This window comes from Homo sapiens, chromosome 2 (genome assembly GCF_000001405.40).
Source record: "Homo sapiens chromosome 2, GRCh38.p14 Primary Assembly".
NCBI lineage: Eukaryota > Metazoa > Chordata > Mammalia > Primates > Hominidae > Homo > Homo sapiens.
Window position 1 is genome coordinate 17569342 of NC_000002.12, and position 17819 is coordinate 17587160.

The following is a 17819-nucleotide window of genomic DNA, read 5'->3' on the forward strand; positions in this document are numbered from 1 at the left end:
TAAAATAAATTAAAAATTAAAAAAAATATTGTCATGTGCCCACATGTGGACTTGTTTTATTTCTCCTACTCTGAAATTTGTAAAATGTTTTATTCTGAATTTTTCAAATCTGAAAAACTCCATGGTTTAATTTCTCTCCTACTCTCTGTCTTATCTCGCTTTGGAGCTATTAATAGCTTCTCATTATTAGAAGCTATTAATTGGAGCTTCTCATTCTAGCTTCATTATCTCTTAATGTCTCTTCCATATTTTTCATCCGTTACCTCACTGTGCTCCATTCCAGATAATTTCATTAGAACTAACTTCCAATTTACTCTTTCCTCTTCATCTGTGTCTCAACTATTATTTAAACTCTATTTAAAAATGTATTAAGTTTATATTTTTAGAATTTCTATTCCATTATCCCTCATAATTAATTATTCTGATCTTCAAGTCTCTATTTTTAATTCTTTAACAAGAAATTACTGAAAACAGGTAATGAAAACATCCCTTTAAGACCATTTTAGAATTTGTAATTGCCAGAGCTCCATAATAGTTCCGTGATGTTTCTTGGCTTAGGGTTCTTACTTTGGGGAAATAGTACAAACTCAGACTATAACTAGGTAAGCATTCCAATTCAGGATTCCAATTTCTTGTTTTAAAGTTTTTATTTTGGAATATTCGATGAAGGATCTTTTCCGCTCAGTCTATATACCTGGCATAATGTAAAGGAGACATTTTGAAATCTTGCAAATCTCCAAATTGAGTGTCTGACTGGTAGTTTTCTTCATGAAATACAGTGAAGAGATTGACCTCTTCTCTTTTCACTTCCATTATCAGCAGGAGGAGATGTGTTTTTTAAGGGGGACATTGTTCACAAAATAAACAAAGCTTTTTAGTTTTTGCTGTGTTTTTAAATCATTTATGAGACTCCCTACATGCGTAGGGTAGAATAAAGATTAACAAAACTGTACTTAAATGCAGATGCTTGGGAGAATCACTTATTAGGGCTACACACCAGCCCTATACCAATCATGTTTTGAACGTGTGCTCCAAGAAACTTATAAACCACTTGACTTAATGAGCTATTTAGGCCCATTATGAAATACCTGAAAATTTAAATATTAAATCTATTAACACCAAAGGTTTATAGTATTTGGCATCAGGATTTTTCTGAGTGTGAGTATCTATGGATTGGTATTATTTGAAAACTTATTTCCAAATGCAAATGGAATACACAGATTAATACAATCTGAGAAAATAAACCATAAAAGTAGATACTATTTATTAAGCATCTCCTATATCAGCCACTGCATTAGGTTTATTACCTACATTATTTCTAATTTTACAAATGCCCTTTCAGTCAGGTGGTAGTATCATAATTTTATAGATGAGGAAACTGAGCCTTAGAAAGGCTAATTGATTGTCAAAAATGGCAAGATTAGGCTAGGTGCAGTGGCTCACACCTGTAATCCCAGCACTTTGGGAGGCCGAGGTGGGTGGATCATGAGGTCAGGAGTTCGAGGCCAACCTGGCCATGATGGTGAAACCCCAATTCTACTAAAAATACCAGGTGCGGTGGTGGCGCCTGTAATCCTGGCTATGTGGGAGGCTGGAGTCGCTTGAACCCAGGAGGCGAAGATTGCAGTAAGCCGAGATTGCGCCACTGCACTGTAGCCTGGGGAACAGAGCAAGACTCCATCTCAAAAAAAAAATAGGCAAAACTAATTTACCCAAAATAAACTGGTAATATTTCCCTTTTTCAAACTTGGTTGATTAAAAACCTCCAAAGCACTTTAAAATAGGAGGGAAAGAAATAGACTTATGATCTAAAAATATGCAAAATACCAAGAGCTTATGTTTTAGCTATGGTTTGGGTCAGGCAACCTCCCTAGGTGTTTTGTAACCCTCAACCACACTTTCCTTTAGGTACTAGGATGCTATCTAGCCGGAACCTAACACAACTAATAATAATTTTTTAAACAACATTGTAGCCTTTAATCTGATTTAAGGTTGTTTTTTCAGTTCTTCCTTGAGGTTGCTAATAATTAAGAACCCTACCTAGTGATGCATAACCCTACTGAGCTCATGAGCAGGCAAGGTAGCTATAGGAATTTAAAGTTGACGTTTCTTTCAACCAAGTTGACAGAGACAACCTCTTTGTATTAATATATGAAATGAACACATTTATATATTAATACCAAAAGTCATCACTATCAAGATAGCCTATTTTTAAAAATGATCAAAAATTAAGATATTCATAGAACAAATATTTATTAAGCACCTACTCAGCACCAGGGACAATTCTAGGTACAAAGAGTGCTAACAAGACAGACCAGGTTCCTGCCCTCTTGGAGCTTACATTCTAGTGAAAGTAGACAGTCAATAAATACTCATGTAAATTAACAAATACACTAGATAAGTTCAGATCATTTTAAGAGCTACAAAGAATATAAAGCAAGGTAATTATATAGTCACTAGGAGTGTGTCATGGGAGAGACTAGTTGAAATAGGCCAGAAAGACCTGACAGGTCACATTTGAGCAGTGATCTGACTGGCAAGAAGCCAGCCATAAAGAATCTTAGGAAAAGAGAATTCTAAGGAGAGAGAGAAAAGTTCACATAAAGGCTGTAATATGAGAAGGAACTCAATATGTTAGAGAAGACCACAAAGTGAGTATGACTGAAGCACAGTAAATAACAGAGAGGGTAATAAGAGATAAAGCTGGAGAGGTAGAAAGAACGTGCACCCTGATTTTCTTAAGGTAGTCCTGAACAATGCCTGTTGTCCTGGTGTAAATAATAGCACCTCCTTTCACTCTCAAAGTATGCTTTTTGGACAATAAATTATACAATCTTTCTGTGGAGAGATATGGAGGAGCCAAATTATTTGGATATAGATAGCAGATGAATAAAAACTTTAGAAACTAGATAGCAAGTGGATTTCTTCTTCTTCCATTGGTCCTTCCTATTTTCATCTGAGTTGGAGGCACTTGTTTTTATTTTACATTTGTCTGGCGCATGCAGTAGGATAAATGAGATACAGATATGTAAATAAGACCCGGTTTTCCACAGAGAACATCCAGGGCAGAGGTTTTGGGGTTTAGATCTGTGTAAGACTAGGGGTCTCTAGTCTTACACTGTGACTGGAGCAGCCCAGGATACTTATGCCAAAACAAGTAATTAACACTAAAAAAGAAGAGGAGGAAGAAAAAGAAGAAGGAGGCAAAGGGAGACAGCCTCTTGTTTCATGCCATACAATAACCATTATTCATTTCTATTACTCCATGTTTAATCTTCATGTAAGAGAGGTTCTATAGCTTGATTGGAGTCATACAGGTAGTGAGAATTAAGGCTGGGATTTAAATCTAACTCTGTCTCACCCTTTCCCTCAGGTTATCCTGCCCACCTCAGGCTTTCCAGTGGTATTCTCTTACTACTTAATCTCTGAACATAACATGCTCTTTCACATCTCTTTGTATCTATCATTCCTGCCTGGCAGTCCCTATTCATCCACTGCAAAGGTTGCTTCTCATGTGAAGCTTCTCTCAATTCCCACAAATGTGTTTGATTGTCTTCTCTGTCCTTCCATAATAGCCACATGAATCTCTGCTGCAATGTTTTATTCATTCATCATCCATTCATTCATCTATTCAACTGTTAAATACTGGACATATAAAAGCCTACAGGACAGACATAGTACTCATCCTCAGAGGAGATTATGACTAGAGAGGATTAATTAGCAAAGTAACCAATATCTTTAAGAAATTTCTTTATTAAATCTCTTTTGACTCATTTGTTCATTCATTTGGCCATTCGACAAGTGCGTACTATGCTGACAGAGGCCTGATAAACTATTGACACATTTTGGAAAATGCAAATTTACTCATGTTTTAAGTCTGGGAGCATGAAGTGGGAGAAGTAAGAGATGAAACTGAAGAGAAAGGCATAAACAAGATCATGGTGACCCCTATGGGTCTTACAAAAGAACTGGGACTTTCTCTTCAGGCATCAGTAAGGCATTGAATGCCTGAAATGGTCAGATATTTATTCTAGTAAAATTACTATGGAGGCAATGTCAAGACTAAATTTGAAGGGTACAGGCTACAAACAGGAAGACTACTTAGTTTTTGCAAAAAAAAAAAAAGTTTCTGAAGTGAGGTGGAATAAATGAAATGGAGAACAGAAGAGGAATTCATGGTTAGAAATTAGAATTTCTGATTAATTAGAACTAGGGGAAGAAATGGAGCAACATAGGCTGACTCATAAATTTCAGACTGTGGATTTCAAACTCATGACGCTTTGCTGAATTACTGAGACAGAGATGAGGTCCTGCCCATTGTATCCTCCATTGCCTTATGCTTCTCTGCAAGATGAGTAAGCTCATTTCTTCTGACACCTACTTGGTGTTTTTGTTGATTGACTTTGGGTAAAAGTGGCAACTGAAGAGAATATTGGATTTGGAATCAGGAGATGAGGCTTTGGAACAAGATCTGCCACAGATATTTTCTACACACTTAGAGAAAGCTTGTGTCTTCCCTAGACCTGTTTCTCATCTGGAAAAGGAAAGAGTTTATCTAAGCTAGGATATTTTGGTTCCCTCTCAGTTCAGTGATTCTAGGATTCTGCTTGGCAGCAGTTGCTTTGTGGTTGAATGCAGTTCTCAAAAGCCAAACATGCGTTTTGTACAAGCAACCTAACTTTAGCAGCAAGGAAGCCATTTACTGGGATTTGACTTCACATTTTCTTTGTACTTCTCATGCATCTGGTAATTTCCATTGACTTCAAGTTTCGAAGCTTGTCCTGACACCCATTCTATTCTCCTGCAAGTCATAACTGACCCGTAGGTTCTGGGTAAATCCTATCCTATGTCTTTCTTTGATCCCCCCCCACCCTGATCTTTATATTTCTATCAAAAAGTCAGCAGAGTTCAGTTAACAGATAACTTTTTCTCTACCCCTGAGAATGATTATATATGGGCCAAAATACAGCACTTTTAGCCCTATCATCACATGAAACACTCCTTCCTGACCCACTGTGTTCTTTCACAAAAGCTAAGCTCCTTTCTGCACCATGGTTTCAGAAGTGTCTGCCCCCTAATATTTTAAACTGTGCTTTCTCAGATGAGTCACCAATTTAACTCTTGCCTTCATCTTTCTTATTCAGATTTTAGCTAATATTCCAGCTGAAAATTCTTTGAGCGTATTCAAGTTAGTCCTTTCAAAAAAGCAATCAAATACAGTCCATAGAATTTTACAAGTAGTTTAATAAAGGTGTCCATACACCCTGGGATCCTTGCCAGTCACTGGCTCCAGCTGAATACTCAGGGATTTTCCTTTGTTTGTTTCTCTTCTGCCCATTCATTTTCCATGCTGTAATCTTTGGGTTGGATGTGGAAAAGAGCCTTGCCACTTATGGAAGACTTCGTTATTTCATGAAAACTAAGCTATCAAACTTTGTTTTTTGAGATAGGGTCTCACTCTGTCCCCCAGCCTGGAGTGTAGTGCTGTGATCACGGCTCACTGCAGCCTCCACCTCCTGGGCTCAAGCAATCCTCCTTCCTCAGCCTCCCAAGTAGCTGGAACTACAGGCACACACCACCATGCCCAGCTAATCTTTCCTTCTTGCTTTCTTACCCTTCTTTCCTTCCTTCCTCTCTTTTCTTTTCTCTTCTTTTCTATGTATTTTTTGTAGAGACAGGGTTTCACCATGTTACCCAGGCTGGTCTCAAGCTTCTGGACTCAAGCAATCCACCTGCCCTGCCTCCCAAAGTGCTGGGATTACAGGCATGAGCCACCATGCCCAGCCTATTAAACTTTTTGTAGGAGATGGCCAAGAGCTGAACCTCTTCCTTCTGGATTGCAGGTACTGGGAAGGTAGAAATGCAGGCTGGTTGCTGGTCACCTCCCAACCCGGGAGGGAAGCAGAGGAGGAATTCAGATTCCTAAAGTCAGGAGAAAATAAGAATAAAAGGGCATCCATCATTAGCTTAAAATACAAGGGACTACCTACCTCTGAATAATTTGAAGGTTAAATCATTGAAGACAGTCCATAAAATAATTGAAATAACACAATAGTGGGAGTTAGGAAACCTGGTTGTTTTTCTAAGTGTAGTTCGACCTTTGTCACTCTAGACTACTTACTCTCTTTGGACCTCAACCTTCTCAACCTTATATAGGGAAAATTAAGTAGATTTCACAAATATCTTTTTTTTTATTTTTTTTATTTTTTTTTGAGATGGAGTCTCACACTGTCGCCCAGGCTGGAGTGCAGTGGCATGATTTCTGCTCACTGCAACCTCCGCCTCCCAGGTTCAAGCGATTCTCCTGCCTCAGACTCCCGAGTAGCTGGAATTAGAGGCATGCGCCACCATGCCCGGCTAATTTTTTGTATTTTTAGTAGAGACGGGGTTTCACCATGTTGGCCAGGCTGGTCTCGAACTCCTGACCTTGTGATCTGCCTGCCTCGGCCTCCCAAAGTGCTGGGATTATAGGCATGAGCCACTGCGCCCGGCCCGATTTCACAAATATCTTTACAAGTTCTCATATGTTAATATATAAGTTAATATGATAACCTATAAGAGATCTCTATTTAACATTCACTTGTTACCATAGAAACTTGTAAATTATAGGAATATGCTTATCATTCCATTATTATAACTTAAAAATAAATTTTTTTGCATATTATTTGTCCCTCTCATTGGGTCATTGGTTTGTATAGGAAATAAGCCATTTCTTTTTCATCTCCATATCCTGATACTTAACATGGTTTCTGCATATAGTCCACACTTTTTATTCATTTGTAAGCAGCAAGAGAGGAAAACAATTGTCTTCATTTTTTGCAGTAACTAGTTGTAATTATAGAGTGTGTTTAATTTTGCATCTCTGCTTTCTCCACTTAGCGTATCATAAGTAATTTGCCATGTTTCAACATTGCATTCACAATTTTATGTTCCACTCAGTTAATGTGCCATGATTTACTATCCATTTCCCTAGTGGGAAATGGTTATAGTGCTAGAGTTTCTACTATTATTAAAATGAAAATGCAATAAATATGTGTCTGTATGTAACTTTTTCCTCTTGGGTTATTTCTTTAAGATACCTTCCCCTGGAATCAAAAGTTTATATTTAATTATTTATTTCTAGTGTTTTCTGGTGGGTTATATTAACATGCAGTTTTGCTGTATTTGATTATTTGTAGGTGTAAACTTGGCCATTGATATTTAATATTTTGTTCATATTCTATTGATGTTCATTGCTCAGCCTGCCAGCATAATCCTCTTCCCATTTATTTTTAAGCAATGTTAATACTTAAAAGACACGTATGTTGAATATATAGTCCCATGTTGTTATTTTTACTTTTTCTGTTTTTTTAGATTCCCTAAACTGTGAATCTTTATGTAGTTATATCTATCAGTCTTATCTTTTATAGTTTCTGTCTTTGCTTTTATTTAGAGAGTCCATCTTGACCTTAATAATCAGGTTAAACATACTTCTATCAGTTTACTATTTGTGTTTACTCTTTTCTATTCATACTCTTTAATCATTTCTGTCTTCTGTCTCTGATGGTTTCCTTAATAACTGGTATTTGCTTTAGATACAAATACAGTCATGCATCACTTAATGACAGAAACATGTTCTGAGAAATGTATCATTGTGCAAACATCATAGAGAGTCCTTACACATACCTAGACGGCATAGCCTACTACACACCTGCCTATAGGCTACAAGCCTGTACAGCAGGTTACTGTACTGAGTACTGTAGGCAATTGTAACACAATAGTATTTGTATATTTAAATATATCTAAACATGGAAAATGTACAGTAAAAATATATTATACTTTTATGGGACCACCATCATATATATAGTCCATTGTTGAGTGAACCGTCACTCTGAGGCACATGACATTATATACACATACATAGCTATTAACCTTTTGTCTATATTTTCAGTTTCTGATAGTTTTCTTTGATAGTTTTTGTATTGAACTTTTGATTCCAAATGTTAATGATTTTTTAAAAGATGGCATATGGTATGGTTCTTACTTTTTTTATTGAACTGCTATCAAGAGGTGATTATGTCACTTATAAATTATATTTCCTCTATTTCCCCCTTGTTCTGAAAAGCTTCCTTGATCATATATTAAGTGAGTCTGTATAGCTGGATCTATTTCTAGACTCTCCATTCTGTTATGCTGATCTATATGTCTATTTTTGTGCCCATAAATTCTGCATGTATTTGAGGAGACCTCAAATGTCCTCTCTTGAGTCTTTGTTTCTCCAGGCTAAACATTCCCTGTTCTTTCAATGGCTACCCTTCTATTTAGCATCCAAGTCCTCTCCCATCTGCCCTGGGGACCAGGGGCAGGCAACTGTGAGATAACTGACCAAGCCTCAGGGGACCCCAGAGTTCCCTCACTTGGGGAAAAAAATGTTACATAAAGGCAGCACCCAGGTGAAAAAGGGAGACTGATGAGCTCTTATGTGGAAATAACGGTTTTTGTCACAGAAAAGTACTTTTTTGTTTCTCATCTCTAATCTGACAGAATAGTTTACAATGGCTAAGGGTCTGTCAGGGTTCAAATCCCAACTCTACCATTTTCTTGTTGTGTAACCTTCTCGGTAAGCCTCATTCACCTCAACTGTAATATGACTATATAATGGTATCTACTTCATAAAACGGTTGTAAAGAAGAAGTGAGGTAATCCATGAACACATAGTGAGCACTTGATCATATAAGCTGTTGTTATTACTGCTAAAATATCGGTCATATAGATTTATTATTTTATTTAACATTTTGAGGTAGTTATTAATATACACAATTTAATGTTGAATGAACAGGATAAGAAAAACTCAGTAAATTTCCCTTCCCAGCTAGTAGATGTGCTTCAGCAAGTATCTCACCTTGTTTGTCTAATGAGAAGGCCCGGGTCTTTGCTGTAGACAACACAACTCCACTGTGTGATGGAAGGCACTGATAACTGGCTCTTTGGATTCTGCCATGGTTACTAGGTGAAGCTCTAAATTCTTAGACAAAGGTAAATGTGAGGTTCAAACATAGGATTGTTTTGAGGTTTTCTTTTGGTTTCAACATGGAGGGACATTAGGTTAATGGGGAGACTCAATATGGTTTCATCCTTATTTGCAGATTAGCTGATGTGGAAACATGTCCCTTCAAACTGAGTATCACTTCACATAACTACTCCAAGTGAAAGTGACACAGGCCCAGAAGCATTTGTCATCCCCACAGGGTGCCAGAGGAAGCGGCACTTCCTCTCCTTCAGCACATGCTACCTGTGCTCTCAGAAGGCCCACGGCTGGGAGGGAGGCAGGTGGAGGAGGCCATACAACTTGCCAAGTCAAACACACCGGAAGGTCTAATTTTAGTCCCCCTAGCCTTGGCATTGTCTCTTTCAGCAAAGATATTTTTCATGCACTACAATAAAGTGCTTTGTTCCAGCCTTGCTGGATACTTCACAAAGGCCCAGCAAGGACAGCATAAGCCTAAATCAGAGCTGGAAACACATCAAACACAGGGACCTCACAGAAGAGGGTCAGCATTCCTCTCGTAACCTTTGGTAAATACGTTCTTTCCATCCAGCTTCCAAAACCCTAAGAAGGAACACTTGGTTGTGCTTCTCCTTCTACGCAACTCCTCTTCCTCCAGCTTCTTTTTTGTGAATCTTCTGTTGGCTCCTCATCAACAAGTGTGTTTTCTCCTTCATGCCAGGGATTTGAAAACCTACTCCCTCTTTTTGTCCCTGCCTAACAAAGCCCCCTTCTTTCTTTCTTTCTTTTTTTTTATTTTTTTTTTTGAGACGGAGTCTCGCTCTGTCGCCCAAGCTGGAGTGCAGTGGTGCAATCTTGGCTCACTGCAAGCTCCGCCTCCCGGGTTCATGCCATTCTCCTGCCTCAGCCTCCTGAGTAGCTGGGACTACAGGTGCCCGCCACCACGCCCGGCTAATTTTTTGTGTTTTTAGTAGGGACGGGGTTTCACTGTGTTATCCAGGATAGTGTCGATCTCCTGACCTCGTGATCCGCCCGCCTCGGCCTCCCAAAGTGCTGGGATTACAGGCGTGAGCCACCGCGCCTGGCCACAAAGCCCACTTCTTTCTATATAGTCTAGGTCTTGTTTTCTTTTCTGACATTGCCTGGAAAGTGCACTAGATTAAGAGTGAGAAACAATTTTACAATTTGCAAACTGGCTCCAGGGTTTGTTCTTACAATGACCTGGCAAATTCGTTGAGGCAGAAACTTTCACAGAACTTGTATAGATGAGAAAACTGAAGTGCAAAGAGGACACAGACTTTTGCAAAGGTCACACAGGAAAACACTGGCAAAGCTGAAACTGAAACCTAGCTCTGGTGCTTTAGGAAAGGTGTGGTCCAATGAACTTATCAAAGCACCGAAAACCCACACAGGCATTTGGGAGGGCCCTGGGATGAAAGAATCCTGGAAAAGGACCTCCTGTGGTGCTTTCAGTTAGAGCCACTCCCTTTACAAACAATGAATTAACAGCAGTCTTTTAGGATTCACAGGTAGATCAAAGACCTTTAGTTCTTAGGCTCATTCTATTTAGCTCTGGGTGATGAATATGGAGGAGAAGCTCAGGAGAACCCTGAGGTGACATCTCAGCACCTTGGAGAAGTTGTGATCGGGAGACACAGTGCTGGGAGTCAGAGTCCCTGACCATCAGAATCTGCTATGTCACCAAACCTCTCTGAGGCTCAGTTTTGTCTTCTGTAAGATTGATGCTAACAATGCCAAGGTTTATGTAAGATGTGAGATAGGAGAGAGCTTTGTAAATGCTAAAGCACTATCCACTGTTCATTACAATGACTCATATTCAAATTCAAAAAATAGAAAATTCAGAGCTTCCATAGATCACCACTTCTGGGTGCCTATGGTTGGGTCTAGAGTTGTCCAGTGAAGTCCAGAAAGGAATCTACCCAAAGGACAAAGTAAAGATCCGAGAAGCCTTGGGGAACATTAACATCTCTGGTCAACCTTATCTGCTGCGTTTCCAGGAAATAAGGAAATGATTTCTCTGAAGGTAAAACCCACCATTCTGGGACCTCAACCTGAAACTGTTGACCACAAAACCAGCTAATATCCTCAGGAAGTTTTCCAAGCCTCCCAAAGGCCTGTGTGAGTTTTCTGTGCTTTGACAGGTTCATGGGACCACACCTTTCCCTAAAGCATCAGAGCTAGGTTTCAGTCCAAACTCTGCCAGTGTTTTCCCGTGTGACTTTTGCAAAAGTCTGTGTCCTCTTTGAACTTCAGTTTTCTCATCTATACAAGTTCTATGAAAGTTTCTGCCTCACCTAATTCACCAGTTCATTGTAAGAACAAACCCTGGAGGCAGTTTGCAAATTGTAAAAGTGTTTCTCACTATTAATCTAGTGCATTTTCCAGGCCGTGTCAGGAAAGAAAACGAAACTCAGACTTTATAGAAAGAAGTGAGCTTTGTTAGGATTTTATTAGTTTGGTGAATGAAATACATTTTGTGCATTTATTTGTTTGCTGAAATAAAAACATTTGCACATTGTTCTGCTTATAAATGTTATATGCTCATTATAAAGAGTTCAGAAAGATATTAAGGAGAGAGTGAAATGCCACCATTATACCACCAGCAGTTATAATCACTGTTAAGATTTTGATATAAATTATGAACTGACCAAACTTCCTGTGCACACAAGCTCAAGCAAGTGTGTGTATAAAGCAAAAGTAAGTGGTGCTACACTTACTGTTTTGTGACCTGCATTTTTGACTTAACAATTTATTACAATATTATCTCTCCTTTTTTCTTTCATTTTTATTCCTAAAGTGCTGCTTATGTTAATCGTATTCCTCAGATCATGGTTCAATATCAACATTTTTTATATAAAGCCCTTCTTGTGTTTTCTCATATAGTTTTAATTTCCCTTTATTTGCTATGCTCCCATTCCCTTCCTCCATTATATTGTATTTAATATATGTCCTCAGGTAAGGGTTTATCCTTGAAAATATACAGAGTTTATTTGTACATTTGTGTGTTTTCACTTAAATAAATGACATTGAGTCAATACCCACCCATATCCATCAATGTAGATATACATTATCACTTTTAATGGCTTCATAATTTCCATTCATTGCTCTAAAGAAATTTATTTAGCCAGTTTCCTGTGATGGACCTTTAGGTAGTTTTTAAAAGAGGTTTTTAAAAATGATTTTAAACAATGCTGAAGTAAACACCCTTTGTATATATGTCTTAACAGGCTTGTGTCATTATTTCCTTGAGATAATTTCGAGAGACCACTTTATAAAATATTCCTTACCCAATCTCTCAAAGAAGCTTTGTTGCTGGTTTCCTAGAAAGAAGCGTGTTCTCTCTCTCTTCCTCATGACACTGCTTTTCTCTCCCTAACAGCACTTAGTACAGTCATCTTTAAGCTTCGTTTCATACGTTCTCTCTTATCGCTCAACTGATAAGCTCTTGCTGTTAATGGGAGGGATTACATAGTAATTAATTAATTCAACAACATTTCCTGGGTATCTGTTCAGCAGTGGGCTCTGAACTAGTGCTGAGGTGAAGTGGACAATCACCCACCCTTGAGGAACCCCCATCTGTGAGATGGGAGACATGGATTACAGATACTACTGTGGCAGGTGATGCAGCAACAGCAGTTGTGTAATTTGCAAAAGAAGAAGTAGCCGTACAGTGAAGTCACTGAAAATGAGGTACCTCCTCTACATCTTGAAATATCAGTGGGAGTTCACTAGAGAACCAACGTGTAGCTAATGAGAACTGCCCTCAGAGCAAAAGGAGCAGCAAAAGGAAACACAGAGAGGTTTGGCATGATATTAGGAAGTTGTAGCATAGGTGAGAACATGGGGAGAGAGGAAACTAAAGAGGTGCCAGGAGGGGTGAGGGGAAGGAGGAAGGTGGGAGGCTGGAGGGAAAGTGTAGGCCCAAGTGAGCAGGTCTGGGAAGCCATGCTCACAGTTGGAATTCAGAGTGAGGATAATGAGAGACCACTGAAGGGTTTAAGCAGGGCAGTGACATGATTGGGTTTTGTGTTTTAGAAAGGTCATTCCAGCTATGATAGTATGGAAGATGGAATTCAGGAGGGTAAGACTTTAGATGGAGAAGCAAGTTAGGAAGCTATTGTACTACTCAAAGTGATAGGATAATGGCTTGAACCAAAGTAGTGGCAACAGAGAAAAGTAGATGGAATCAAGAGTTAGAAAGTAGAATCTACCAACTTCTTAACTTGTTGATAGGTTTACATACAGAAACACGAAATAGAGAAGTTCAGAATGATGCCCAGACTCTGCATGGAACCTTGTGAAGATGGCGGGCCACTTACTCGGAGAGGAACAAAGAATAAAAGGATGTTTTAGGGGAAAAAGGAGGACAAATTCATGTTTGCATAGTATGTTGAGTTTGATGTGGTGGTAGAATACAATGGTGGAAATGTCTAGCAGGCAGATGAATACATTATCTAGTATTCCCAAATTTTTCTTTAGGACCTCCCCTAAAGACCTGGAAAGACCTGTCCTAAAGAAAAATTTGGGAATCATATGATAATACTGAGTAAAAGTTTGCTGAATAAATGAATGAATTGACTCATTTTCAGCATCATGTTTCCTTCAACTAGAACATTTTACTTCTATAAAGCCACCTTCATACGAGAATTTCAAAGTTGTTTTTAAGACTAACCAACATGAATTAAAGTATCTTTTTAGAATTACTGTAGAGATAACAACTTAGGAACATGGTGAGTGCAAATGGCTCTCAGAGAGGAAAGAGTACCAGCCTAAGAGTCAGAAGATGAGTGAGTTGGAACTTGTCTACTATTGGTGGACACTGGTACATGCCACTCACCCCCTCCACCAAATATTCAAGTTCTCTGAATGCAAAGACAGGGGTTGCATTCCTGATGATCAATGCCTAACCCTGTGACAGGGAATGTGCAGGTGAAGCGGGACACTCCAGGTCTGCTCTTCTCTCTCGGCAGCTCCCTGCTGTTCTCAGATAAGGGCCACAGTCCCTCCCCACTGGGACTTGGCAGCACAACCTAGAACACAATCTGTTGGACAGAAGGCTGTGATTATTAATGAAAGCATTTCCTCTGTTACCTCACAGAACTAAGTGAGGTTCTAACACTGCCAAAGATGGCCCATTTCCTTTCATAGAAACCAATTCTCAGAAACACATAGGATGGTCAGAGACAGTACACATAGGGAAGTAAAAATAAGGTGCAGAAAAGTGGGTGGCTGCTTGAAACACTCCCAGATGAAAGGTTACCAGCTATTAATCAGCTCACACTTCTGTTCAGTGGGTGAGCAAGAAATTGGATGGAAACTTCACTCAATGGTTGATGCTTAGTTGGGGCTGTGAGGTCCTCAGATGACTTTCCTCAGTCAGGTCGGATATGATGCACTTTTATGTAAAGGAAGGAGAGTCAACAAGGCCACAGCAAAATTCCCTATGTTTCACAATTTGTGTACGTCTGTTTACATGTGCCAGGCTCGGTGCCATGTATTGAGGTTAGGATGACTCCTGCTGTCTAGGCCTGAATCTTGAACAGTCCCCCTCTCCATCATTTGGAGCAGCCCAGTTGGCTGGGTCCTGTGATGAGGATAATAATAGTTACTGTTTTTTGGACACCTGCCTCATGGAAGGCACTGTTGGAAAAAAGTCAGCATTATCTCATTTATCCTCACAACAACCCTTTGAGCAAATAACATTATTTTATTTGAAAAATGGGGAGATTGGGGTTCCAGTGGGCTAAGTAACTTATCAAAATTCACGCACCTTGTATTAAGCAGGAGCATCATTTGACCCTAAGACTGACTCCAGCACACACTTTTTTTCCCTACTACGCTAAGTCCAGATGAAAATAAAAGAGACATCAGAACCTGACAAAAAGAAGGAAACCCACAAAAAGGGATACAAGGGAAACTGAGTCTGAGTAGAAACTTTTCCAAAGTCATAGAATAGCACCTGGGTATCAAGTATGGCTTGGGTCTAAGTCATGTTTCCCAGGCACTCAGGAAATGTTCTTTGTGCCTTGGAAAGGAGGCAGATGGCAGTTGCATCTGACCCCCAAGGGTCAGATGCCATTTGATTATGCCATTTTGACCCTTTGCAGATCAGAGCCCCTGGACATCTGGCCCCCAAGTTTCTAAGTGGGTTTTAGCTTGAGACCACCTAGTGAAAGCCAAAGACCAATGTCCGCTGCCAGCACCCAGCCCAGAGTCAGGGATATACCATTTGGCCAAGGCTCCAGAGCCACTTCAGGCTCTCAGCACCTGCCCTGTAAAAAGACAGCTCAGGTGGAAACTTCACTGGGAGCAGCTGGGGCAGGCCTAAGGAGGGAGTCCACTCGTCACACCCTACTCACATGAGAAGACATGATTCTGAAGGGCTTAGGACCTTCAGCCTGTCTCAGTACCCAAGGATCACAGGCCTGGGCACTGCAGCAGGCATCAGTCTTATCGTTGAGACTTGGTAGCTAGGGCATGGCTAGGCCCTAACATACTAACTCGCTATGTTTTCTGGCATAAGTCCCCTAGCCTCCTTGGGCCTCCTCTAGAAAACAAAGGGGTTGGATCAGATGATTGATCCCTGGGGCCCACTTCTGCTTTCACCTTCAGGTGTTTACTATACTTTGGCAAACAGAACTCTTGTTACTCGCCCTAACATTGCCACTGCCACTGCTGTCAAAATATTTTCCCTCACTTATTATAGATTAAAAAAATATGTTTGCCTTATCTTGAGTCCCCAGGGATTCAGTCTGTGCCCCCTCCTGTTTCATGCTTATGGGGTGAAACCTCAACTATAATTCCAGGAGATTCAGGTTTTGAGGTAATGTCATCAGAGGATGCTGTAAGAAGGGATTTCTGTTCTTTCCAGAAGCTGCTTTTGTCCCCAGACACATCATGAAATGCCAGCTTGTGGTCCACACCCTCCCTGCCCGCTGGGAAATGCTGCTGGGGGCTTGTGAGTACTTGGCTTCTGGAGGACAAAGAAGAGGGGAACAGAAAGAGGCATAGTGTCAGATATTTGCCTTCATTATAAAAAAAAAAAAAACATACAATATGCTGGGCAATTTTAAGGCATGGTTTTCAAGGCTGTTTTTAACAGTCTCTGGAAACCAGCAATCCGGTGTCAGTTGTTTATAGGATCCAAGGGGGTGGTGCTGGGGGTTGTTTCAACATCCTTGCACAGAGAGAAACATGGGTAGTGGCTTACAAGCTTTGAGTGTTAGACACAGGGACAGCATGCTGTGGGGGTGGGGAGTGGGGGACACCCATCCAGGTGGGGGGATGGGCTTCTCATCCCAGCTCTGCCATCAGCTGCCCATGTGATCTGGGAAAATTCATCACCTTCCTGAGCCTCAAACTCTCCAACCTAAAACCAAAGGGCTTAAAGCAGAGGAGCCTACAGGCAAATCTTTTCAAGCTTTGGTCTTCCCTTGTGTGATCTTGGAATTCTTTTTTTCTTTTTTTTTTTTTTGAGGCAGAGTTTCACTCTTGTCACCCAGGCTGGAGTACAATGGTGCGATCTTGGCTCACTGCAACCTTCTCCACCTCCCTGGTTCAAGCAATTCTCCTGTCTCAGCCTCCCGAGTAGCTGGGATTACAGGTGCCCACCACCACACCTGGCTAATTTTTATATTTTCAGTAGAGACAGGGTTTCACCATGTTGGCCAGGCTGGTCTCAAACTCCTGACCTCAGGTGATCTGCCCACCTCAGCCTCCCAAAGCGCTGGGATTACAGGCATAAGCCACTGCACCCGGCCAATTTTGGAATTCTTAATGCTAGTCCCCAGTACAAGGATCTTGAAAGCACATCAGGAATGCCAGATGGGGTTAGTGAGGAATCAGGGAGACCTTGGGTTATGTCTGTGCTGGTTTGGGGTGTGCTTCTTAGATCATGTACTTCGATTTTTATTTATGCTTTCCAGCAGCATTTCCCAAGTTGACTCATGATCATATTCCCCTGAGTTGCTTTTTAAATGTACAGATTTCCCTGCAAGGGATCAACCCACTAAGCTGTATTTTTAAGGAAGAACCAAGGGTGATTCTTGTATTCAGACAAGTTTAGGAAAGACTGCTTAAGAGGTTTCACCTGGGGACCGGTGACAGGTGAAGGTGCCTGATTTGGTCAGTATTTGTCTGTTTGTCTATCCTCTGTGTTATGTAGCTCTCTACTATGAGTATTCATTTCATCATGCTTCATATTCCAAGACTTGTAAATGTCTCCTGCATCCAGGTCTGAGCCCTTTAAGATTGGTACCATGCTTTCTGTTTATATCCCACCTTACCTAGCACAGAGCTTTTCTCCTGGAAGATTCTTACAAACATCTGCCAAACTTAGTTGTGCAGAGAGTTTTCTGCCTGATTCCGTCAAGTTAATTATGCCATGGGTCATTATTAACCACAATATCAAATACAAGGAAAAGAGAGGAGTAGTAACAGTTGGCAGAGAAGTATCATGGAGAAAACAGGATTGGAATGGAGTCTTGCAGCAGGAGTAAGGTTTAGATAGATGGAGGAAAAAAGCACAAGGGGCATTCCAGGCAGAAGTCTAAGCATGAGAAGGCCAGTCTCTACAAAGGCAATTGTTTCAGGATATGAGTGAAGAGCCTAGGGCTCAAAGAAAAGATTTATTCAAGACTGACCTAAGTAATCTGTCACTGACCAGCCCATTGCAGCCTCTTTCCATACTTGCATTACATGCAGGTCTCCAACCTGAGCCCCTAAAGCCCTTTCTTCCTTTGCTCTCAGCCCTATTTCCAAGGTTGTTTTCCCACTGCTGTGTTTATCCTGCTATGTATTTGCACATGTGGTG

At 40.3% G+C, this 17819-nt stretch overlaps 1 protein-coding gene across 5 annotated transcripts in view, besides 1 other annotated feature; it reads left to right on the top strand.

The window, feature by feature from the left end:
* VSNL1 (visinin like 1) overlaps window positions 1-17819 on the top strand; it is a 117047-nt gene that overhangs the window by 29370 nt on the left and 69858 nt on the right. The gene's annotated exons all lie outside the window — the stretch shown is intronic.
* Window positions 10235-11004: an enhancer, noted in NCBI's record as "OCT4-NANOG-H3K4me1 hESC enhancer chr2:17760843-17761612 (GRCh37/hg19 assembly coordinates)". NCBI's record gives its function as "activates a minimal SCP1, AML or CMV promoter by ChIP-STARR-seq in naive H9 embryonic stem cells {active_cell/tissue: H9 hESC(naive)}" and the evidence as "EXISTENCE:reporter gene assay evidence [ECO:0000049][PMID:30033119]".